This window comes from Homo sapiens, chromosome 5 (genome assembly GCF_000001405.40).
Source record: "Homo sapiens chromosome 5, GRCh38.p14 Primary Assembly".
In the NCBI taxonomy this organism is placed as follows: domain Eukaryota; kingdom Metazoa; phylum Chordata; class Mammalia; order Primates; family Hominidae; genus Homo; species Homo sapiens.
In genome coordinates, this window is record NC_000005.10 from 157,128,816 (window position 1) to 157,154,984 (window position 26,169).

Below are 26,169 nucleotides of genomic sequence, written 5' to 3' on the forward strand. Positions count from 1 at the left end.
AGATCGTGCCACTGCACTCCAGCCTGGGTGACAGAGTGAGACTCTGTCTCAAAAAACAAACAAACAAACAAAAACTGCGCATCAAAGGAAACAATCAAAAGAATGAAAAGACAACCTACAGAATGGGAGAAAGTGTTTGCAAGCTATTCATTCATCTAGTGGAGGATAAATGTCCAGAATACACAAGGAACTCAAACATCTCAATAGCAAAAAATAAACAATCTGATTTTACAATGAACAAATGATCTGTACAAACATTTCTCAAAAGAAAATACATAAAGATGGCCAACAAGTATATGAAAAAAATGCTCAACAACACTAATTATCAGAGAAATGCAGTCCAGGCTCAGTGGCTCATGCCTATAATCCCAGCACTTTGGGAGGCCAGTGCAGGTGGATCACTTGAGGTCAGGAATTTGAGACCAGCCTGACCAATATGGTGAAATCCCATCTCTACTAAAAATACAAAATTAATCAGGTGTGGTGGCACACATCTATAATCCCAGAGGCAGAGGTTGCAGTTAGCTGAGGTCACACCATTGCACTCCAGCCTAGGCAACAAGAGGGAAACTCCATCTCAAAAAAAAAAAAAAGAAAAAGAAATGCAAAGCAAAACTATAATGAGATATCATCTCACCTCAAGACAGCAATTACGAAAAAAAGAAAACATAAATGCTGGTGAGGAAGTAGAGGAAAAAAACTTTTTTTTTTGAGACGGAGTTTCGCTCTTGTTGCCCAGGCTGGAGTGCAATGTTGCAATCTCGGCTCACCTCAACCTCCACCTTCCAGGTTCAAGCGATTCTCCTGCCTCAGCCTCCCAAAGTGCTGAGATTACAGATATAAGCCACCACTCCTGGCTGAGTATCTCATTTTTAAGTTATTGTTTGTTGCTGGTATACCAGAATAAAATTGATTTTTGAATATTTTTTCCTCAGCAATCAGTAAACTCATTAATAAGTTATCTGTGGGTTACACTGAATTTTCTATGTTAACAACCATTTTCTGCAAATAACGACAGTTTTGTTCCTTCCTTTTCAATACTACTTTTTTTTTTCCTTACCATGCTGGTTAGGAAATCTAGTACGTATTTAATAGACATTTTGATAGCAGGCATCCTTGTTTTACTCCAGCTCTCAAAGGAAATTTACAGGTTTTCATCTTGAGTATAATACATGCTATAGGTTTTATGGAGCTACTATTTATTATATTAAGGAAGTCTTCTTCTATTCCTAATGTTCTAAAGGTTTTTTCTTTTTCATGGATAGACGCTAATTTATTTATTTATTTATTTATTTTTTGAGACAGAGTGTCACTCTGTCACCCAGGCTGGAGTACAGTGGCACGATCTTGGCTCACTGCAACCTCCGCTACCTGGGTTCATCCAATTCTCCTGCCTCAGCCTCTCAAGTAGGTGGGATTGATTACAGGTGTGGGCTACCACGCCCAGCTAATTTTTTTTGTATTTTTAGTAGAGACACGGTTTTGCCATGTTGGCCAGGCTGGTCTTGGTCTCCTGACCTCAAGCGATCCACCTGCCTCAGCCTCTCAAAATGCTGGGATTACAGGCATGAGCCACCACGCCTGGCCAATGCTAAATTTTATAACTGCCTTTTGCATATCTTTTGAGATGACCAAGTGATTTTTCTTCAATTTATATTGTTGTGACATATTATCTATTCTATATTCCTGAGATAAACACAGATTAACCATAATACATTACCTTTTATTTTTACATATTATTGGGTCCAATTTGCTAGTATTTTGTGCTAGCCTCATAAAAACAGTTGGGACATACTTCCTGTTTTTCTATTCTCTGAAAGAGTCTGTATAAGACTGAAATCATTATTTATTTATTTATTCATTTATTTTTGTATTTTTTTCTGGCAATGTTTGGCAGACTTGCCAGCAAAGCTATTTTTTGTTTGTTTGGTTTTGTGTTTTTGTTTGCTTATTTGCTTTTGCTAATCAGCTGACTTTAAGATTCACCAGTATAGCTATTTGAACTTTTAAGTTTTCTTTGTGAGAAGATTTTGACTATTGATCCATTTATTTTAATTGTTAGAGAATTATCCTGGTTTCCTATTCCTCAATCTGTATTGGTAATTTTCTAAGAATGTGTCCATTTTGTCTAAATTTTCTAACTTATTAAAAAATCCATATTTTACTTTTTTACTATAATAATGTCCCCCCTTTCATTTCTGCTATTATTTGTGCCTTCCTCTTTTTTTTTTTTTTTTTTTCGTTATCAGTCTCCCCTGCAAGTAGCAGTGACTCAGAGCCCCAGAATCAAGCACCACTTAAGCCTCCAGGGCACTCCTGCTGCCCTTTCAGATCAGATGCTTCTGCACAGATGTTTAGCGGGCCCTGAGTATGTCGCTTCGAGGCAAATGAGTTTCAGAAAGAATTAGGATGGGTCTCCACGGCACGTGTTACCTATGCAACAAACCTGCACGTTCTGCACATATACCCCAGAACTTAATATAATAAGTATAATAAAAAAAAACTAAAAGAATTAGGATGGGTCTTCTCTTTCATTCTCAGCGTTAGATGGTACCTACGCTATGCGGAGATGTGTATTATGTTTACCATTGTTAAGGAAATTGAGTTTTATGGAAGTTTTTTCTTTTTTGAGACGTAGTTTTTCTCCTGTTGTCCAGGCTGGAGTACAATGGTGCAATCTCAGCTCGCTGCAACCTCTGCCTCACGGGTTCAAGCAATTCTCCTGCCTCAGCCTCCCGAGTAGCTGGAATTACAGGCATGCGCCACCATGCCCGGTTAATTTTTTTTTTTTTTTTTTTTAGACGGAGTCTCGCTCTGTCGCCCAGGCTGGAGTGCAGTGGCACAATCTCGGCTCACTGCAAGCTCCGCCTCCCGGGTTCACGCCATTCACCTGCCTCAGCCTCCCGAGTAGCTGGGACTACAGGCGCCTGCCATCACGCCCAGCTAATTTTTTGTATTTTTAGTAGAGACGGGGTTTCACCGTATTAGCCAGGATGGACCCGGCTAATTTTGTATTTTTAGTAGAGACATGATTTCACCATGTTGGTCAGGCTGGTCTATGAACTCCTGACCCCAGGTGATCCGCCTGCCTCGGCCTCCCAAAGTGCTGGGATTACAGGCATGAGCCACGCCGCCCAGCAGGAAGTTAATATACGAAACCGAGATATACAGCTGATTAAACAGTAGAGCCCTAGGATTCTGGGGTGTTTTCCAACACCAACCATTTCTCTAATTCAACAGACAAAGTACGTATCTAATGATTCAATTTAATTCTGACACTAACTACCCAGAGTTAAGTTAGGGTAAGCAGTACCTCTGAGTTTCTTCATTTTAGTCTACTCTGCAACCAGCTACAGCTCTTAAATCTGAGGTAAGAGTGCCACTTACTGGTAGCCTCATCACAACGCAACTTGAAACCCGCTCACAAATTTAATTCTAAGTGCCAGTGGCATGCAAAAGAAAAAAGGCTCAGTACGGTATGCATATATTAAAACATTACATTGTACCTCACAAATAAATAATTTGTCAATTAAAAATAAAATAAAACTTAAGTGCTTTGTAGCCATTCTCCTATTTAATCCTTGGATTAATCCTATGAAGAAGCTTCTGTAATTTATATTTCTGTGATTTTTTATTAGTAGCTTTGTGAAAACACTCCAAAGTTTAGAATCCAATTACCTACATCATAGCCCACCAGCCAAATCCAGCCTGCTGTCTGATTTTGTACTCTCACATCTAAGAATAATTGTACATGCTAAATAGTTGGAAAAAATCAGAATAATTCACATATGAAAATTATTGAAATTCAAAATTCAATGTCCATATAGAAAGCTGTATTGGAACCGAGCTCTCTTGTTTATGCATTGTCTATGGCTGCTTTCGACCCACAGCAGTTGAGTAGCTGCAATGGAAACTGTACAGTCCTCAATGCCTAAAATATTTACTAATTGAATCTTTACAAAAGAGTTTGCCAATTCCTGACCTAGATTCCAACCTGAGCAAACCTAAACTCTAATCCTCAATTTTCATTACTCATAAAATGGGGATAATACCTACTAAGAGTTTTTAGGAAGATTAGAATTATAAGCACAGAATCTCCTTAAGATACTCATAGAAGTCTAAGCTAAGACATAAGCACCTTAATATGTTCAAAGGGAACTCATAGTTTCCATCTATAAATCTGTTCAGCCCAGTATCAAGTAGTATTTGCAAGCATGGATTTTAGGGTCAAAATATTGGCTCCACTCTTGGTTTCGCTACTTACTTACCTACGTGACTTAGTAACAACATGAGGGAATGGAGAGGCAATGAAGTATGAAGGTTGAGTGTTCAGGCTTGGAAAACTAGAATGCCTAGTTTCCATCCTGGCTTTGCCACCCACTAGTCAGTTAACCTTGGGTAAATTACATAACTTCTCTGAGCCTCCACTTCCACATCTGAAATATGAGTGTAAAAAGAATACTGATTTCATTCAGTAGTTGTAAGGCTAAAATGACTTTATTTATACAAAGAGATTAAAACATTGCCAGCAACTTACAGCCATAAATACCATCAGATTTAGAAGGTTCTTCACAGGATTGTTCTAAGGATTAAATAAGAGAACAGCTACAAAGCACTTAGCACCATTTGCAGTACTTAGAAATCTATCAGAGTACAGCTAGTACCCTTCCTACTGATTCTCTGTATTTTAGTAAAATCTGATGAGAAATCAATTGCAAACATAATTTCTCATCAGATTTCAGATAAAAACCCAATTCCTTCCCTTGGTTCTCTAAATCATGCACATCTGTCCTCCACCTGCTTCTGAAGCTCCAACCTCCTCCCTCACCATATTGCAGCCATAGTAGCCTTTCTCATCCAAATTATGCCAACTTTCTATCTCCTCATGAGATATTTGCACCTGCCGTTCCCAGTAACCTCAGGGCTCAGTGCATGAGTTGAAGCTGCCTTTCTTTATGTTTTTGAGACATGGTCTCACTCTGTCACTCAAGCTGGAGTGCAGTGGCATGACTGTGGCTCACTGCAGCCTTGACCTCCTGGACTCCAGTGTCCCTTCTACTTCAGCCTCTGGAATGGCTGGAACCCGTCATGTGCCATCACATCCAGCGAATTTTTAAATATTTTTGTAGAGATGGGGTCTCCCTATGTTGCCCAGGCTGGTCTCGAACTCGTGGACTCAAGTGATACTCCTGCCTCAGTTTCTCAGTGATGGGATCACAAGTGTGAGTCACCGTGCCTAGCAAAGTTGCCTTCTAAATTCCTTAACAAATGTGAGGTTAGGCATGGTGGCTCACACCTGTAATCCCAGCACTTCGGGAGGCTGGAGGATTACTTGAGCTCAGGAGTTTGAAACCAACCTGGGCAACATAGTGAGACCTCATCTCTACTTAAAAAGAAAAAAAAAGTTTTAGGCCGGGCATGGTGGCTCACGCCTGTAATCCCAGCACTTTGGGAGGCCAAGGCAGGTGGATCACGAGGTCAGGAGATCGAGGCCATCCTGGTCAACATGGTGAAACCTCTTCTCTACTAAAAATACAAAACTTAGCTGGGCATGGTGGTGCACGCCTGTAGTCCCAGCTACTCGGGAGGCTGAGGCAGGAGAATCACTTGAACCAGGGAGTTGCAGGTTGCAGTGAGCCAAGATTGCGCCACTGCACTCCAGCCTGGTGACAGAGTGAGACTCCATCTCAAAAAAAAAAAAAAAGTTTTAAAAGACAAAAAAAAATGTACACATTCCTTGAAAAGGGAAGATAATGTGGACAAGGTGCTTTGAACAGGCAATAGGAACATAACTGGAAGCAAGATTCTTCTGAAGGTGCTGTAATGGCTGAGTGGTTAAGACACAAACTTATCACCTTCAAAAATTAACTCGTCTTATTATCTTTCTTACATTTTCCTTCGCCCTTCCCACACATCCAACAGTTAAACTAGTATCAGGCAGAGTGCAGACCACAGTAAGTATTCATCAAATGAATATCATGAATAAATGAATAGCTGGGGAAAAACTACTCTCATAAAGGGAATACAAATTTGTACAATCCGTTTATGTTTGTTATTTATATTAAGTTCACATGTGCCTGATTTGTAGTAGATCTCTCGTTATCGTTAGCTCAGCACCGCTTCCTTCCTCTGAGAGACAGACTGACTCTTCCATAAATAGACATAGCGGGGACTGTGAAATTCTTATGGGATCCAAGTCCCAGTTGATTTGCCCAGTTGCAATCAAGTATACAACCCCTAATTCCTCATGTCTAGCTCGTTAATTAACCTCCCCTCATTTTTTTTAAGTTTGCATTTGAGAGGGAACTCCCAGACAGTGGTAAACATAGAAATACTTAACCCTTAGGAACTGTCAGCTGCCATGTTCTCCACCTACATCATTAAAGAAGTTCATCTGTAAAGAGAATGAAGCTAACAGGAAAGATGGTCTCCAGGGCTACTAACTTAAAACTTCATCCACTTTCTGACCTTCTCATGGTTTATATATTCAACTTATCCTTCAATCAACATATCCCATATCCTTTCTTTTTTTAATTAAATTGTAAGAGAGAGAAGGTCTCACTATGTTGCCCCCATTGGTCTCAAATTCCTGAGCTCAAGTGATCCTCTCACATCAACCTCCCAAAGCACTAGGATTATAAGTGTGAGCCACCGTACCCAGCCCATACCCCATATCCTTTATATAAATTCATCTTTTTGCTTAAATTAGTTCAAGTAGGGTTTTTGTCAGCAGTAACAGAGCACTGATTAATGCAACATTCTGTAACCACTGCACAAGAGAATCATCTTCTGATTTCTTAAAACCAATGCTAGTACCCCAGTCCAAAAAATGAAATCAGAATCTCCGCAGTGTGGGACCTGGGCATTAGTCATTTCAAAAGCTGCTTAAAAAGGTGATCCTTCCAGATATTTCACTTCAATGAATCAATCTTTCAAGAATATTCATTATAAGTAGGTGTGCAGAGATATATTTTAACACAAGATTAAAAAGACCTTATATAAGGCCACTAGAGCTTTTTTTTCATTCCACTCTAATAGCAAGAGTTCATATCAGAACACTTTAGGAATTTATGTCAGGTCCTAGTCACAGACCTGCAAGATCAGATCCTCCCCAATGGCATTTTTTTTTCTAATTTGTTGTAGAGACACGGTCTCACTATGTTGCCTAGGCTAGTCTCAAACTCCTGACCTAAAACCATCCTCCTACCTCAGCCTCCCAAAGTGCTGGGATTACAGGCATAAGCCACTGTGCCTGGCCCCCCAGTGGCATTTTAATCCCTCAACGCCCCTCCCCCCAACACACACACGTTCATATATAAGTAGTGTTGTGGCTCTTATGTGATTCTGTTTTTTACATGCAAAGATTTTCAAAGTGGCCAAAAACTGGTTTTGCACCTCAACCCAACACCTTCCTCAAGGTTCTCAGAGTCAAAGAAAGAGAATTTTCTTTGGAGAGTTGTTCAAGTGCTAAGCAATTTCCACCTTTCTCCCTCACAAGGTGATGCTCCCTACTTCAATTTAAGCTTGAGAGCCTGAACTATGTCCTCTGGAGTCTCTGAGGCCCAAAGGTCTATACCAAACACATTACGTACCAGAAAAAAACAAAAGTTGAGACTAGCCAACCAACTGCCTATCTGATAAAGAAGTGTCTACCTAGGGATAACTTACAGTCCCTGGATCTGTGAAAGCACAGCATGCACATTTCATAGAGAACTGACCTATAGTCATACATATATACATACATACACATATATATATATATTTTAGACAGAGTTTTGCTGTCACCCAGGCTGGAGTGCAGTGGCACGATCTCGGCTCACTGCAACCTCCACCCCTTGGGTTCAAGGAATTCTCGTGCCTCAGCCTCCCGAGTAGCTGGGATTACAGGCGCCTGCCACTATGCCCGGCTAATTTTTGTATTTTTAGTACAGACGGGGTTTTGCCATGTTGGCCAGGCTGGTATCAAACTCCTGACCTCAAGCAATCCACCCACCTCAGCCTCCCAAAGTGCTAGGATTACAGGCATGAGCCACTGCGCCAGGCCCCTTATAATCATTTTAATGTGAACTTTGCTAGCTCTAGGACCAATGAAAGTTTAAGTGAGCAAATCCCTATGCTAGAAACCAGGGGCTAAGGAAGAAATAAAAAAGTAGACATCTGGGGAAAGGCATTGCCTCTCAATGGTTCTTTTTTGTTTTTGAGATGGAGTTTCGCTCTTGTTGCCTAGGCTGGAGTGCAATGGTGCAATCTCAGCTCACCACAACCTCTGCCTCCCAGATTCAAGTGATTCTCCCTGCCTCAGCCTCCCGAGTAGCTGGGATTACAGGCATGCGCCACCAAGCCCAGCTAATTTTGTATTTTAGTAGAGATGGGATTTCCCCATGTTGGTCAGGCTGGTCTCGAACTCCTGACTTCAGGTGATCCACCAGCCTCAGCCTCCCGAAGTGCTGGGATTACAGGAGTGGGCCACTGCACCCAGCCTCAATGTTTCTTAATCTTGAGCATGTATCATAATCACATAGGCTTCTTAAAATACAGCTTGCTGGGACCTACACCCAGAAGTTTCTGGTTCAAAAGGTCTGGGATGGAGCCAGAGAACCCTCATTTATTTTTTATTTTTCTGAACCTACGGATTATACTAAAACTTTTATTTCTAGTAAGTCCCCAAGTGATACCAATGCTGCTGGTCCAGGACCACACACTTTAAGAACCACGGGCCTACATTAAGAAAACGGCAGGCAGAGATCCTCAGACACAAGGTCAACTCTCCACTAACACCTTGGTGGAAGAGCAGATGGACAGTCGGGGGAAGAAGAGAAGAAAGTGCTCATATAAAGTCCAATTAGCTAGGGGCAGAGTGGAGTTACTGAAAGGAAGACTTAGTCCTCACGGTCATTCAAAGAACCAGACTGACAATCTTTGCCATCTTCGGTGGCTTCCAAACTTATCCTGGATACGACCGTCCAACCAGCAGCTGGGAGAAGAGAATGGAGGATCATGCAAGAAATGTTTATGGGGCAAGCCTGGATTCCTATGCCCACATTTCACCGCCTACGACTTAGTCATATGTTCTCACAGAGATGCTGGGAGTAGGGAAATGTCCCTGGCTGGATTGCCACATCTTGACAACATATCTTCAAAGAGCAAGAATCTTTGGTAGACACCTAGCAGTCTCTGCCATCAAACCCCTTTCCCATTGTGGACTTAAACAAGTCTGAGCTTAGCTTTAAAGAAAATGTATAGCTAATGACACAGACATCTTAATTACTAAAATTAATGTCTGTAACTTAAAGTGACCAAAGGACTTATTACCTGAGTGACTGGAAAAAAAAACAACAATTTATGGGACTTCCCTGCAAGAGTCCATTCAGGATAGGGAGAAAAGACTGAGCTAGTGGGTTTACAGAAGCAGTCATGAGGAAAAAATGAAGTTTCTATTTTATAACTCTACTGGGCTCCTCTCTATCAACATGTTATGCTACTTTTTGGAGCTTAAGCAAAATTTTTAATGGAATAAGTCTAAAGATTTCATAGTTTTACATGTAGAGAGCTTAATATCCATTTATCTATCATTCTTAAAGCAAATGCTAAATCCCCTTTTCAAAGACGAAAACTTTGCTATTATTGAGGTTATCATCAAAGTTTTACTGCAACTCTAAAACATAGGAATGTCCCATACAACAGCAGCTAACACTTTGCTTTTTAAAGTGATTCTTCTTAGTGCAGGGACACTCATTTGTCTATGCTTGTTATACAGCGAAATTACTGCCTATGACATCTCATAATTGAAAAATTTGGAGTCAAGATTAAAGCTGTTTACATTTTTAGTGAAACTTCTCTTAAGACTGTCCAAAAGAAAATGAACTAATATATGATGCTATTATCAAAAGGAAAAAAAGAAAAAGAAACATCTTTCATGGTCTTTCATTCATCTCATCAATTAGGACACACAAGGCAGCATCTTTCTCTATAATCTGATCTCTCCTATGACCTGAATTTTCTCTTTGATGTTCATTCTGTCCAGTACAATTGTTGCTATCATCAGCATCCATTGGTTCAGTTTTTACTCTCATTCCTGCTTCTGAATGAGGCAAATCATCAGGCAAAGAAGCCAAGCAATTCTGAATCATTTCAATTACTCGTTCCAGGTGCTTTTGAAATCTCTCAGCTGTTTCAAGCCGTTGACGTTTCTGGACCTCCATCATGACTCTCAAGGTCTCTCTTGCTTGGTGGGGTCGGTATTCATTTATAAGATGATGCACGTGTACAAAAAGCAGCTTAAGATCTTCTAGTTTCTCTTCTCGTTTTATACTCCCAGGGCTCCTTATTAAAATATCTAAAAGGTCCAAGAAATTAATAAGGATAGACATATTAAGTTTTCTCAGTTCTTTCTTGTGATCAAACTGCATAGGATGAAGCCGTTCGATGCCCTGACTTTCCAAAGGGCGGATGATAAGATCATCACATTGGAACTGATTGCCAAACATCATGTAACTGTCTTTTATTGGAGGGGGAGGCTTGGGAGCTAAGCCTTCTTGAATATTTTCATCCGTATATTCCTTGATATATTGCATTGGAGGTGGTGGAAGTGCACTCACTTGCTGTGGTTCACCCATTGTGGACTATCAAGAACCTATGGACACAGACCAAAGATTTATTAGAGCCACAAGACAAACCTGTTACATTTCATAACTACAGATGGAATATTTTCTTCCTTTTCTTCCAGCAGTTTGGGGCCGAAGACAAGATGATCTCCTTGGTTTCTAAAACTAACATTTATGATAGGGAAAGTCTGCCATCTTTTCTAAGTAGGCATTATATTCTCAACCATTCACATATTTTCCATTCTCTCTCTAATAATTTCATCAGCATTAAAAAATATGTAGCATCCTCTCATCTCTAAAGAAAATCTTCTGGACTCCATGCCCCTCACCACTTATGCCCCATTTCTTTACTCTTCCATAACCAAACTACACAGGCTGTCTCCCAATCTCATATCACAATCACTTTTGTTTTATGTTATAGATTTATTTCCAATAGCAAACACTTACTTGTATCTCTCATAAACACTCTGACAAAATTAACATTGCTAAATCCTAAACACATTATTATCCAAAGTTCCTGAATGAAATGATGATTCAGTTCCATACCCTTTTTGTCACAGTATACTATGCAATTTTATATGGACACATTAACTTTTGTTTGTTTTTTGAGATGGAGTCTTGCTCTGATGTCCAGGCTAGAGTGCAGTGGTGCAATCTCAGATCTCAGCTCACTGCAACCTCCGCCTCCTGGGCTCAAGCAATTCTCCTGCCTCAGCCTCCTAAGTAGATGGGATTACAGGCGTGCACCATGTCTGGCTAATTTTTGTATTTTTAGTAGAGACGGGATTTTGCCATGTTGGCCAGGTTGGTCTCTTTACTCCCCATCTCAGGTGATCCGCCCACCTTGGCCTCCCAAAGTGCTGGGATTACAGGCGTGAGCCACCACGCCTGGCCTGTATGGACACATTAACTTCTCTACAACTATCACAGAAATGTCAAACCCCAGGTTCAAACCCAGTATCTATGGCCATAATAACCTCTACTTATTCTACCTTAAGCCTAGGTATACCATCCAATGAGAAGATCCTTAAGTGCTCCTTTAGATTGGTGTTATCAGAGTTTCAAGATATAACACACTCTAACATCGGGTGGGGCAAGTATCCTACTAGAAGCAATATTATACTTAGAATTCGTGAGGTACTGAGGGCAGCTGTGGCGCAGCCCTGAGTTTCCACTATGCCACAGTGGTGCATAGGATGATGCAGCCTCGCCCTCCTAGGCTCAAGCGATCCTCCCACCTCAACCTCCCAAGCAGCTGGGACTACAGGCATGTCACCAAGCCCGGCTAATTTTTGTATATTTTGTAGAGACAGAGTTTTGCCATGTTACTCAGGCTTGTTTCAAACTCCTGAGCTCAAGCAATCCTCCTGCCTTGGCCTCCCAAAGTGCTGGGATTACAGGCGTGAGCCACCACACCCAGACATTTTAAAACTTTTAACATAAATTCAGATTACAGAAAAAGTGCATGAATACACAAAAAACACTTCATATTCTTCACTCAGATTCTCCAAATGTTAACATTTTCCTTCATTTGCTTTATTGGTTTTTCATTCCTTTACCCCTGAATACTTCAGTGTGTTTTCTCGTGACAAGAATGTTTTCTTCTACCCAAAGCACAATTACCAAAATCAAAGAATTAACAGTGATCTGGTACTTCAAAATACATTTTTTTTTTCCCTGAGACAGTGTCTCGCTCTGTCACCCAGGTTGGAGTGCAGTGGCACGATCTCGGCTCACTGCAAGCTCGGACTCCCGGGTTCACGCCATTCTCCTGCCTCAGCCGCCTGAGTAGCTAGGACTACAGGCGCCCGCCACGACGCCCGGCTAATGTTTTCTATTTTCAGTAGAGACGAGATTTCATCGTGTTAGCCAGGATGGTCTCGATCTCCTGACCTCGTGTTCCACCTGCCTCGACCTCCCAAAGTTCTGGGATTACAGGCGTGAGCCACCGTGCCCGGCAGAAAATACAATTTTTGACAGCTCACGTTTCATCCCACTCAAACCTTTTTAGGTGAGGAGTGCTGCTCTGTACTTTCCTACACGATGTGCATTCCTGTATTGCGGCTGCCATTTTCCTAAGGCCAACTACATGACAGGTACCATTTTTTATGGCCTCTGTAACATAATCTTCATTAACAATTCTATGAATTAAGGTTTTTGGGGTTTTTGTTGTTAGTTTTGTTTTTTGAGACAAGGGCTCAATCTGTCTCCCAGGCTGGAGTGCAGTGGTACCATCAGGGCTCACTGCAACCTCTGCCTCCCGGGTTCAAGGGATTCTCCTGCCTGAGCCTCCTGAGTAGCTGGGGACTACAGGTGCGCACCACCACGCCCAGCTAATTTTTGTATTTCTCGGTAAAGACAGGTTTTCACCATGTTGGCCAGGCTGGTCTGGAACTCCTGACCTCAAGTGATCCGCCCACCTCGGCCTCCCAAAGTGCTGGGATTACAGGCGTGAGCCACCACACGGTCCCACGAATTAAGTTCTATTATCAATTTCATTTTAGAAGTGAGGATCCGAAGTCTCAATGAGGGGAAGTGTTGCCCCAGATCAAAAGGTTAATAAATGGCACAACAGGAATTCTTATCCCAGGTCCCTTTAGCTCCAAAGGGCAAGCTCTCTTATATCCCTAAGCCGAGAAGCATCTAACTGTACAATAAGGACTGGCATATCACAAAAATTATATTTCTTTCTCTACTGTCTCTCTAGATGGAACTTTTCAAAGGTGATGGAGGTCTTATTTTTAATAAAAGCAGAGCCAAGCATCAGAGCTGGTTCTTAACTCAAGATCCAACATCTAGTGTTTGTTCTACTGGGGGAGAAGGAGCTTCACCAGAAGACGACAGACATTCCAGGGTCCCAGCCCCAGAGATTTGATTCATTCTGTCTACTGTGAATGGGCCCTAGAATGTCGCTTTTAAAACCTCTCCAGATGGACCTGACGATTAGGCTTGGGATCTACCGCCCTCGCCTGCCCCCATACCTCAGCTGTTTCATAACTGCTCCCAGAAGAAGGAAGGGCAGGGAGGGCTACTCTCATGTTACAAAGAGCCGGAGAGGGCAAATGACTCGCCCAAGGCCACACAGCTTAGAAAAACAGCGGCGCGGGGACTAGACGCCAGGTCTCCCAACCTCCACTCCGGCTCGGCGTCCCAACACGGAGGAAGCCCCGAGACTGCCACGCTTAGAGCCCCCTCCTCCAGGCTGTCCACCCCGAGGCCTCCGCGCTCTCGGAGAGACCGCACTCTCGGAGAGACTCGGGAGAGAAAGACGAAAGACCGCCTTTGGAGGCCGAACTCAGCCATGCCTCCCCAGTTCCCAGCCCAGCACAGAGGAAGCTGCGGGGTCCGGAAGAAAAAAACGCACACAGGCGGCGGCCCCAAACCGTTGCCGCCCACTTACCTCAGCTCTGGCTTTACACTGGTAGCCGCCTTCCCCTCTGCAGCCGAAACCAACTTCCGGTCTCCTCCGGGAAGAAGCCACCGACTCTGTCCTTGATTGGCTGTAAGAGCTGTCCTTTAACGAAATTCTAGCTCCGCCTCAGACCGATCCCTCGCTGTTGCGCCTACGTATGTTTGACTCCTCCCATCCACCCGTTACTGACTTTTAAAAGTCGTAGCTGAGGGTTCCGTTTCTTCGTTTCTTTTTGAATTAAGGCATAAAATTGAACAAGACACCTTATTGCTTTATTTTTTATAGACCCCTTATTGACCAGAAACAATCTTATGTTTTAATGTTTAACATGCTCTTGTAAGACTTAACGTGAATTTAGAAATTTATGACACGAAAATAACCTCCAAAAGAAACGCTTGCTATTGCGCCTGCGTATATTCCACCCCCTTCCCCATTACCACTCTTTTACTGACTTAGTCGCTGCTGGTAGTTCCATTCCTTTTGTCCTTTTTTAATTTAACGCATACAATTAAGACGTCTTACATACAAATTCGAAAATATAGACATGCAGGGTTTTTTTGTTGTTTTTTTCTTTGAGACGGAGTCTTTCTCTTTCGCCCAGGCTGGACTGCAGTGGCGCGATTTCGGCTCGCTGCAACTTCAGTCTCCGGGATTCAAGCGATTCTCGTGCCTCAGCCTCCCGAATAGTTGGGGTTTCACCTATTTTTTTTTCTTTTTTTTGTATTTTTGGTAGAGACAGGGTTTCACCGTGTTGGCGAGGCTCATCTCGAGCTCTTGATATGAAGTGATCCGCCCGCCTCGGCCACCCAAAGTGCTGGGATTGTAGGCGTGAACCACCACTTCCGGACTCCCCCATTTTAAATCCCTCGCACGTATCAATTTATTTCCTGAAGAAATCCATCTACGTTGAGCATAACCCAATCCAGCTTTTCTCCTCACCGCTGACCCCAATGTATCCTGCACCAGTGACTTCCAATGGTCGTTCCCAGTCCTCATTTTACTCCATCTGTCAGCAGCATTTGGCACATTTGATTAATGGATTGCCCCAGGACTCAGTTCTCCAACCACTTCTCAGTCAGATATCAGCTGGATGATTACATGCAGGCCCTGGAACACCGTTTCCTCTGCACTTCAGACCCTCATATCCAGTGGTGACAGACATCTTTCCCCAGTTGCACTTTACTCAATTGCAAATGTTCAATCGAAGGAATCACCTTTTTCTCCTTTCTCACATACCCCACCGAAACTACCATACCAGCCTTTTGCATTAGATCTATTTAAAAATAAGTAAATAAAGTTCCAAATATGACTGACCACCGTTCCCACTGCTATGGTCCTATGCCATGCCACCATTATCTCTCACCTGGACTTCTTTGATTTTTTGTCCTCCCTTAGTCTATTTACCACACCTTCTTAAAATATAAGACCGGTCTTATCACTCCTCTATTCAAAATCCTCCAAGGCTTTCTATGACTTTTAGAATAAAATCTGACATCCTTCCCCTGGCCTATATCACAGGCCCTACAAAATTGCCAAGTACATCCCGGCCTTGGGGCCAATGCATTTGCCTGGAACTCTTTGCACAGATATTGACACGTCTCATTTCCTTCTTTCCTTTTTTTTTTTTTTTTTTTTTTTTTTTTTTTTGAGACGAAGTCTTGCTCTGTCACCCAGGCTGGAGTGCAGTGGCCCAATCTCGGCTCACTGCAAGCTCCACCTCCCAGGTTCACGCCATTCTCCTGCCTCAGCCTCCCCAGCAGCTGGGACTAGAGGCACACGCCATCACGCCCAGCTAATTTTTTTGTATTTTTAGTAGAGACGGGGTTTCACCGTGTTAGCCAGGATGGTCTGAATCTCCTGACCTCGTGATCCGCCCGCCTCGGCCTCCCAAAGTGCTGGGATTATAGGCGTGAGCCACCGCGCCCGGCTTCATTTCCTCAATTCATTCAGGTTTCTGGTCAAATGTGACTTCAAAGAGTTCTTCTGGGGTTACACTACTCTATGCAAAATAGCGCATCCCTAATCTTTCTCTTGGGAGATGCCCCTGAAACCCTTACTATGTATTATCTTTTTTTCATAGAACCTCTCATCATCTGAAATCATCTTACATAGTATATTTATGTATTTTATTGCCTTTCTTATCCATCAAAAATATCAGGTTTATGAGCATGGGACCTTTGTTTCATTTACTGCTGTTGTGTTTGAACCTACATACAACGGTGCCTGAAATTGGCAAATACTCAATAAGTGTTTATTGAATAAGAAACAAAATGAATACAATCATCACTTTCAAATAAATTCATAGCGTGGCTTTGGTGGTTATACCACAGTCTCTTTAGCCAGATCCTCATTGTGTTAAATTATTTTTCTCCAAATTTGATCCAGTGTAACTACACAGGATGATGAGATCCCAGTACATATATGTTTGTGCATGTGTCCAATTTTGTTCTTTGAAATAAATTTCTAGAAATAGAATTACTGGGCCCAAAGGGGCAGTGTCTTAACAGTTAGTAGCAGAATCAAGGCTAGAATCTTGGACTCTTGACTATCAATCTAGTGTTCTTTCCAATAAACTTCAAATGAATAATGGATATGAAGTCCATATCATGAGAAGGGCTAGTGACAATATGATGTGTGTTAAACATTTAATTATATGACTATATTGGCAAAATCTCAATGGAAAGCTTATTACTTAAAGATGCCTACTACAGCTTAACAAGGAATATGCTCGTTGAATAAATCTGTATATTGTGTGTCTGTTGTGCCGGCACTGGTCTAGAAGGCTAAAAAGACAGACAAAAGCCAGTGGGGCCTTTGAAAAAAGTGTTCTTTCTAGAAGGTGTTCTAGAGAGACACAGACAAGAAGTATACAAACAAGTAAAAACTTCGAATAGTGGTAAGGGCTATGGGGGAAAGTATAATACAGATTAATGTGATAGTGACGTGGGTTGGGGAATAGCTACTTTACACAGGGTGGTCAGGGTAGCCTCTCACAGAAGGTTAACTTTGGAAACAAAATATGAAGGAGTGAATTCTGCAGAGATCTGGGAGACAGCAAATGCAAAGAGCGTGGGGCTGCCATGATCTTTCTGAATTAGAGAGAGGAAGGCAGCCTGTGTGCTCCATAGCTAGTGAGCAAAGAAAGAAAGAGCAGGGGAGATGAAATGGGCAAAGACACACGGTAACCGACTTCTTGCCTCCCTTAGGATCTTGGCACATTATAAAAAACATCGCTGTCATTTGAACCTAAATTACAAGCAGAAATTTTTAGTTTCCACCCTATTGATTTTTTAAAATGTAGATTTATTGAGGGATACTTTACATAGAATAAAATTAACTCTAGGTGAATAGTTATAAGAGTTTTGATAAATACATACTGACATAAAACCACTACCACCCGGATTAAGATGTAGAATATTTCATCACCCCAAACAACTTTTTTTTATTTCAATTCCTTCCCTTTATCCCCATCCTCTAGTAACCACTGATCTGATCCCTGTTCATATAGTTTTACCTTTTGCAGAATGTCATATAAATGAAATTAGAAAGTATGTAGTTTTTGGTGTCTGGTTCCTTTCACTTAGCATAATACTTTTGAAGTCCATCAATGTTGTTCAATGTATAATACTTTGTTCCTTTTTACAGATAAGGAATATTCCATTGTATGAATATACTGTAATTCATGTATCCATTCACTGGTTAATAGACATTTGGGTTATTTCAGTTTGAGGTGATTCTTAACAAAGATACTATAAACATTCCCATGCAAGTCAATTGTATGGACATATGTTTTCATTTCTTTTGGATAACAACATAGTGACAAAATTGCTGGACATTATAATAATTATATGTTTAACTATATGAGAAACTACCAAGCAGTTTTCTAAAGAGGCTGCTTATTTTTCATTTCTCAGCAATCTATCGGAGGTATAGTTGCCCTCAATCTGCAAATTGGTGTTATCCTTTTAATTTTTACTTTTTGCTATTCTAATATCTGTATAATGATTTTAATTTGCATTTCCTTAGTATTGGGTATCTTTCATGTGTTTACTGGCCATGTATATCTTTTCTTTGGCGAACTGTCTGTTCAAAATTTTTGCCCATTTTTTAAATTGGCATGTTTTCTTACTATTGAATTGTAAGGGTGCACACACACAAATACACACAAGATATAAGTCCTTGATAAGATATGTCTTTTACAAATATTTTCTCCTAGTCTGTGGTTAATCATTTCATTTTTTAAGTGTCTTTCAGCAAGCAGAGTTTTTTTATTTTGATGATGACAAGTTTATCAATTATTTTATTTTATGGCTCATACTTTTTGTGTCCTTTCCAAGAATCTTTGCCTAACTCAAAGTCAAAGATTTTTCCTCTGTTTTCTTCTACAAGTTTTCTAATTTTAAGTTTTACGTTTAGGTCTATGATCCTTTTGGGGTTAATTTTTGTATTTGATGCCCAGTAAGGGTCAAAACTCCTTTTATTTGTTTATTTATGCTTATAGAAGTCGAATTGTTACAGCAACTTGTTGATTTTGTTGGCCTTACTACCTCTGTCATTGGTAGGCAGGTTTATAGATAGTAATCCCTGAGCGTCTGTTAGTCAGTTACATTGTATCTTTGGCTTGCTGATCAGCCCGGCAGAATCATTGGAAGATAGCAAGTAAAAATTTTTATCTCCAAGCTGGGCATGGTGGCATGCACCTGGGGTCCCAGTTACTTGGGAGGCTGAGGTAGGAGGATTGCTTGAGCTGATATAGCGCCACTGTACTCCAACCTGAGCAACAGAGTGAAACTCTGCCAAAAAAAAAAACGGAAAAAAAAAGGCTGGGCATGGTGGCTCACGCCTGTAATCCCAACACTTTGGGAGGCCGAGGCAGGCACATCACCTGAGGTCAGGAATTCGACACCAGCCTGACCAACATGGAGAAACCTCTACTAAAAATACAAAATTAGCCAGGCATGGTGGCACACGCCTGTAATCCCAGCTACTCAGGAGACTGAGGCAGGAGAATCACTTGAACCCGGGAGGCAAAGTTTGCAGTGAGCCAAGATCGCACAATTGTCCTCCAGCCTGGGCAACAAGAGTGAAACTCCGTCTCAAAAAAAAAAAAAAAAGAAAAGAAAAGAAAAGAAAAATTTCATCTCCAGTCCCTGTTTCTTCCTGATTTTTATAAGCTCATATACTGTATATGGTTTTAACGATGCACTTTTTTTTTTTTTCTTTCTGGAGACAAGCTCTTACTGTGTCACCCAGGCTGCAGTGCAATGGTGTGATCTCGGCTCACTGCAGCCTCTGCCTCTCAGGTTCAAGTGATTCTCCTGCCTCAGCCTCCTGAGTAGCTGGGACTATAGATGCACACCATCACGCCCAGCTAATTTTTTTACTTTTATAGAAACGGGGTTTCACCATGTTGTCCAGGCTGGTCTTGAACTCCTCACTTCAGGTGATCCACCTGTAGCAGGAAGAGCCGCAGACAAAACTCCTCAGACACCGGATTAAAGAAGGAAGAGGTTATTTATTCAGCCAGGAGCGTCGGCAGACTTGTGTCTTAGGAGCCAAGCTCCCCGAAAAAGAAATTCTCGGCCTTTTTAAAGACTTACAACTTTAAGGGGTCCATGTGAAAGAGTCGTAATACATCAAGCAAGCGTGGGAAACGTGACTGGGGGCTACATGCATCAGCTAACAGAACAAAAAGTTTTACAATGCTTTTTTCATGCAGTGTCTGGAATTTACAGATAACACAAGTAGTTTAGGTCAGGGGTTGATGTTATTGTTACTTTTTTTAACTCCTAGGGCTGGGTGGTGTTGCCAAGGTTGTCTGGCTATTTATCTTACTTTTGTTTTTTTCCAACTTTTTGCTTTTTCTCTCTTTCCTCCTGTCTTGTGAACTAGGCAAGGTGAGGGGAGGAAGGCAGCAGGAGTAGTAGTGGTCTCCTGCCTTATACCCACCTTGACCTCCCGAAGTGTTGGGATTACAGGCATGAGCCACCGTCCCCGGCCTTAATGATGCACTTTGGATGAGAGTCATTGCTAATGTATTTTTTTTCTGCAGTCTGCAGTATAGTTTCAATTCCTAATCACTATTTTTTTGTTGTTGTTACTTCATGGCTGCTAATGACCTTATCACTAAAACGTCAACAATCCAGATCTGTGTGCAGCACATGGGTGGGGAGAGTGCTTGTGGTTTGCTTTGCCTACAGCATTTTTTCTTACCAGCAGGGGGAGCAGCAACCTTGGCATTTGGAAATAATCCCCAGCTTAAACTTTTCTATGGGAAAGATTTGTGTCTTGCATATTGGGTCCTCCTGAGTTGTTACTTGCAGGCTGAAGAACCTAAAATGAATTTGTAATCCTACAAAAAGGCAGGTAAGCCCTTTTGAATTTGTTGTAGCTGTTACTATTAAAATCTACATTTACCTTATGTGGAATTTCACCAGAGGAAAAAAATAGCCATGCCATCATCATACCTGTTCTTTGAATTATCACAAAATATACCCATTACGGCCGGGCACGGTGGCTCACGCTTGTAATCCCAGCAGTTTGGGAGGCTGAGGTAAGTGGATCACCTAAGATCAGGAGTTGGAGACCAGCCTGGCCAACATGGCGAAACCCTGTCTCTACTAAAAGTACAAAAATTAGCCAGGCGTGGCTGTGTGTGCCTGTAATCCCAGCTACTCGGGAGCCCGAGGCAGGAGAATCGCTTGAACCCAGGAGGCAGAAGTTGCAGTGAGCTGAGATTGCAGCATTGCACTCCAGCCTGGGCAACAGAGCAAGACTCCGTCTCAACAACAACAAAAAATAACTGTTTTATTGATTTATTGATTGATTGATTTTCTATACACTCCCTAAAGGATCTGGGCTCTGTCCGATCCATTTAAGTTCCCGCTTTAAGATCCATCTCAAAGATGGTCTTCTCCAAAAGGTTTCTCTCAGTTCACCCAAATAAAAATTACCTCTCACCAACTCAAAGCCTCTTTCCTTTACTTCTTACAGCACTCCTCTAGCTGAAGTTGTAATTATGCGCCTGTTTTATTTCTATGGCTGTAGCTAAGTTCCTGACTTATCTGGGCATCCCCTTAACAATCCCTGGAATTACCTCACACATGGCCAATGTTGAATATATTTTTGTTCAAAGACAGATTTGAGCAAAAGCAAAAGAAAGAAGAAAAAAAATCTCCTGAATGGTGTGTGTACAAATGTGAACTACCTGCTTTCAGTGTAGCTTCATATCAGGATCAAGACTAAGTGGAGGTGTGTAAGGAACACGCCTCATGCACAAAATTAAGGAGGAGCAAACTCAGTAATCAAGATAAATAATATCGGCTGGGCGCGGTGGCTTACGCCTGTAATCCCAGCCCTTTGGGAGGCTCACGCAGGAGAATTGCTTGAACCTGGGAGGCGGGGGTTGCGGTGAACTGAGATCGCACCATTGCACTCCAGCCTGGGCAACAAGAGCAAAACTCCGTCTCAAAAAAAAAAAAAAGATAAATAATATCTTAACACAATATTTTAAATTAAAAAATTAAGGGAAAAACTCATGATCTACAAAATATTACAATTTCTTTTCAGCTCTCGCAACTTCCACCTCCTTGGTTCAAGTGATTCTCCTGCTTCAGCCTCTCGAGTAGCTAGAATTACAGGCATGCGCCACCATTCCCGACTAATTTTGTATTTTTAGTAGAGACGGGGTTTCTCCATGTTGGTCAGGCTGGTCTCGAACTCCCAACCTCAGGTGATCCGCCTGCCTCGGCCTCCCAAAGTGCTGGGATTACAAGTATGAGCCACCACTCCCAGCCAAAATATTACAGTTTAAATAAAGACAGGATTAGTAGTTCACATACCACCATTTAGAGAAGAGAGGTTTTTCATGAAACTGTAAAAGGCCAGAATTATTTTCCCGAGGGTATGGGTGGTAGTGCCCTCTTAGACAGGATTTTAAAGTTTAATGATGCATTTATTCACCCCCAATATATATATTATATATCATATATATTTTAATATAGATTTGTAATGTATATTAAAATATACATTACAAAAATACAATATATTTATATATTATATAAATTATATATTATGTATTATATATTTTATATTATATATAATGTATTTATATAATTATATATTCTGTATTTTTATATATTATATATCTTTGGCGAATGGATGTATTTATTAGGAAATAAATATTTTGAGAAAGGGTCTCACTCTGTCGCCCAGGCTGTAGTGCAGTGGCAGGATCTCAGCTCACTGCAACCTCTGCCTCCCAGGCTCAAGTGATTCTCCTACCTCAGCCTCCCGAGTAGCTGTGACTACTGGCATGTGCCAACACGCCCAGCTATTTGGATATTTCTTGTAGAGACAGGGTTTTGCCATGTTCCCCAGGGTGGCATTCACCCAATATTTATTGCTCACTTACTACATGCCAGCTACTTTCCTAGGTGCTGCAGTCACAGTGGCCCAAACCATGGCAAGTCCAGGTGCTACTTCCCTACAGTTATCTGGGAAAGTCTTTACCCACTTGATTCCACCCTGCTTCAGGTCCAAGATGAACTTCTCTTAGAACCTGGGCTTCTGACAGAGACAGATTTTATGAATTCTGACCCCTGTGGGTTTCTTTACCCCATTCAGTCTCCAGTCTATGTATTGCACAGAATTTGACTATCTTCCTTCTAGTCTCCTTTCCTTTGTCTCCTTATCATCTTCCACCACCTCTGACACCTGAGTCCCAGTTTGTCTTCCAACATGTGTTAACCTGAGAATCCCCCCAAATCAATCAGGGTAAAGCAGAATGGAAAAGAGTCTGGCCTGAGATTCCATAGACCTGATTTCAACCAGTCAGATAGGTAACCTCAAGCAAGACACATTATTCTCAGTAAAGTGAGAATCTCAGGTCAAACCAGTGGCCTCCAAGTCACGGAAATGCATTCCAGGTGTCCCCTGAGGCAAAGGGGAGCCAAGCTGGTGGGGCTTCAGGCTGCCCACTCTACCCCTACTTTCAGCCAGAGGACCCTCACCTTCATCTCTTTTGTTTACTAAGTTCCATTTATGATTTTATATTTTTAATTTTTTAAAAAGAACAATATGTGCAAAAGTTTGACAAACACTGAATCATATAATCTCCAAATTTCTTTGAGATTTGATATTGATTAGTACTGTTATTATCTCCCTATGTATTTATTGTTGATTACATACAAATTAGAGAAAGCAATCTCACAGATTTCAAAGCGCATTTGAAGAGTCATGTCTGATGAGGGAACAAAACTTTTCTTCCAAGGGGTTAAAAAGATGCCCTGTAATTCCACAACCAGTCTACCTTCTTCCCTTTTCCTATAATTAAAAACTTTTTTTTTTTTTTTGAAATGGAGTCTCGCTCTGTCACCCAGGCTGGAGAGCAATGGCACGATCTCAGCTTCTGGATTCAAGCAATTCTTCTGCCTCAGCTTCCCAAGTAGCTGGGATTACAGGTGCCTGCCACCACACCCAGCTAATTTTTGTATTTTTAGTAGAGATGGGATTTCACCATGTTGGCCAGGCTGGTCTCGAACTCCTGACCTCACATGATCCTCCCACCTTGGCCTCCCAAAGTACTGGGTTTATATGCATGAGCCACCATGCCCAGCCAATAAAAACATACTTATAATAGAGACGGGGTTTTATCACGTTGCCCAGGCTAGCCTTGAACTCCTGGACTCAAGGGATCTGCCCACCTCAGCCTTCCAAAGTGCTGGGATTACAGGCGTGAGCCACCGTGCCCAGCCAACCACTCTACTTTACTTTTTAAATAGACTATTCTTTAGAGCAGTTTTAGGTTAACAGCAAAGCTGAGTGGAAAGTATAAAGAGTTCCTATATACCCGCTCCCCCCACACACTCACAGCCTCCACTGTCATCGACATCCTGCACCAGAGTGGTTCATTTGATTTTGATGAGCTGACATTGACGCATCATTAGTACCTGAAGTCCATAGTTCACACTGGTCTTCACTCTTGGTGTTATACACTATGGGTTTGACAATATATGATGACACGTATTCACCATTATGGTACCATAGACAAAGTTTCACTGCCATAAAAATCCCTTGTGCTCTGGCATGTCCTCCCTCTCACCAAACCCCTGGATATCATTATCTTTTGTTTGTTTGGGAGTTTTTTGTTTGTTTTGTTTTATTTCATGTTTTAGATTCATAGTCTCACTCTGTTGCCCAGGCAGTGGCACAATCATAGTTCACTGTAGCCTCAAACTCCTGGGCTCAAGCATTCTCCTACCTCCTTCTCCTGGGTAACTGAGACTACAGGTGTGCACCGTCATTCGTGGGTAACTTTAAAATATTTATTATTATTTTTTGAGACAGGGTCTTACTATTTCACCCAGGCTGAAGTGCGGTGGTGTGATCATGCCTCACTGCAGCCCCAACATCTCAGGCTCTGATGATCCTCCCACCTCAGCTTCCTGAGTAGCTGGAAGTCAGGAGTTTGAGACCCACCTGGCCAATATGGTGAAACCCCCTGTCTCTACTAAAATTTAAAAAATTAGCTGTGCATGGTGGCACATGCCTGTAATCCCAGCTACTCGGGAGGCTGAGGCAGGAGAATCACTTGAACCCAAGAGGCGGAGGTTGCAGTGAGCTGAGATCACGCCACTACACTCCAGCCTGGGGAACACATTGAGACTCTGTCTCAAAAAAAAAAAAAAAAAAAAAAAAACTACCAGACTGTTTTCCTCATTGGCTTTCTTTACATGCCCACTAGAAATGTGTGGGTGGTATAGTTTCTCTGGTTTTACATCATAATTTGGTGTTGTTCCTTATTTATTATTTTTGTTTTAATCATTCTAATATGGTTATAGTATTATCTATATGTGTATAGTATTAAACCATTGTGGTTTTAATGTGCATTTCCCTAATGACTAATGATGCTGAATATTTTCTCATGGGCTTATGTACTATCTGTATATCCTCTGATAAAAATTTGATATCTTTTCCCCATTTTCTAATTGGACTGTTTGTTTTTTTTAATGTTGAATTTTGAGAGTTCCTTATATATTCTACATACTAGTCCTTTGTGGAATATAAAGTTTGCAAATATTTGCTCCAGTTTTTAGCTTGTTTTTATTCTTTTCCCCGGGTCATTCATAGAGTGAAAGTTTTTAATTTTGAAGGAGTCTAGTTTATCAATATTTCCCTTTACTAGTTATACTTTTGGTGTTGAGTTTAATAACTCTTTTCCTAGTCCTAGTTCCCAAAGATTATCCCCCATGTTTCTTTCCTAAAAGTTTTATAGTTTTCTGTTTTTTAAAGTAAGTCAGTGATCTATTTTGAGTTCATTTTTTTAAATAAGGTGTGAGCCTAGGCCAGGTGCAGTGGCTGACGCCTGCAATCCCAGCACTTTGGGAGGCTGAGATGGGCAGATCACCTGAGGTCAGGAGTTCGAGACCAGCCTGGCCCACATGGCAAAACCCCATCTCTACTAAAAATACAAAAATTGGCCAGGTGTGGTGGCGCATGCTTGTAGTCTCAGCTACTCAGAAGGCTTAGGTGGGAGGATTGCTTGAGCCTGAGAGATTGACGTTTATGTGAGCCAAGATTGTGCCACTGCACTCCAGCCTGGGTGACAGAGCAAGACCCTGTCTCAAACAAAAAAAAAAAAAAAAGAAAGAAATAAAAAGAAAAAAACCCCTTTGTCTTTTCTAGAAAGTGTATGCATACAGTGCTAGTTCCTTTACTTACCTGTATCCCACACGTTTTGATATGATTTCTATTTCTATTTTATTTCTGGAGTCTCACTCTGTTGCCCAGCCTGGAGTACAGCGGCATAATCATAGCTCATTGCTACTTTGAAATCCTAGGCTCAAGCAAACCTCTTGTCTCAACCTCCCAAAGTGCTGGAATTATAGACATGAGCCACTGTGCCCTGCCAATTCAATGTAATTTTTATTTCCCTTAAGACTACCATTTTGACCCTCTTTGACCTCTTAGATTCTAACAACACAGTTCTAAGTGGAGATTTTCCTGTTACCTTTCTGTTATTGATTTCTAGTTTGATTCCACTGTGGTCAGAAAACACATTATATTATTTCAATTCTTTTAAAGTTGTTGAAGTTTCTTTTATGGCCCAGGATGTTGTCCTGATCTTGGTATACGTTCTGTGGTATCTTGATG

The 26,169-nt window shown here is 41.5% G+C and overlaps 1 protein-coding gene across 2 annotated transcripts, besides 2 other annotated features; it reads right to left on the reverse strand.

Annotated features, from left to right (window-relative positions):
- Positions 1-8,608: 8,608 nt before the first annotated feature.
- Positions 8,609-14,050, reverse strand: MED7 (mediator complex subunit 7). 2 transcript variants are annotated; one of them, NM_004270.5, is made up of 2 exons: positions 14,005-14,050; positions 8,609-10,633 (listed from the first exon to the last, which is right to left on the reverse strand). In NM_004270.5, the coding sequence occupies exon 2, from the start codon at positions 10,614-10,616 to the stop codon at positions 9,915-9,917; it is 702 nt and encodes a 233-aa protein (NP_004261.1). In that variant the 5' UTR covers positions 10,617-10,633; positions 14,005-14,050; the 3' UTR covers positions 8,609-9,914. The 2 variants fall into 2 exon arrangements, with proteins under 2 accessions (NP_004261.1, NP_001094286.1); NM_001100816.1 differs by lacking the exon at positions 14,005-14,050 and adding an exon at positions 13,586-13,960 and having other exon boundaries at positions 9,625-10,633.
- Positions 13,718-13,767: an enhancer, noted in NCBI's record as "active region_23498". NCBI's record gives its function as "activates an Ori minimal core promoter by ATAC-STARR-seq in GM12878 lymphoblastoid cells {active_cell/tissue: GM12878}" and the evidence as "EXISTENCE:reporter gene assay evidence [ECO:0000049][PMID:35858748]".
- Positions 14,578-14,677: an enhancer, noted in NCBI's record as "active region_23499". NCBI's record gives its function as "activates an Ori minimal core promoter by ATAC-STARR-seq in GM12878 lymphoblastoid cells {active_cell/tissue: GM12878}" and the evidence as "EXISTENCE:reporter gene assay evidence [ECO:0000049][PMID:35858748]".

Excerpts from the sequence above, each read along its gene's own strand:
- MED7 (NM_004270.5), bottom strand. The coding sequence starts at position 10,616 with ATGGGTGAACCACAGCAAGTGAGTGCACTTCCACCACCTCCAATGCAA.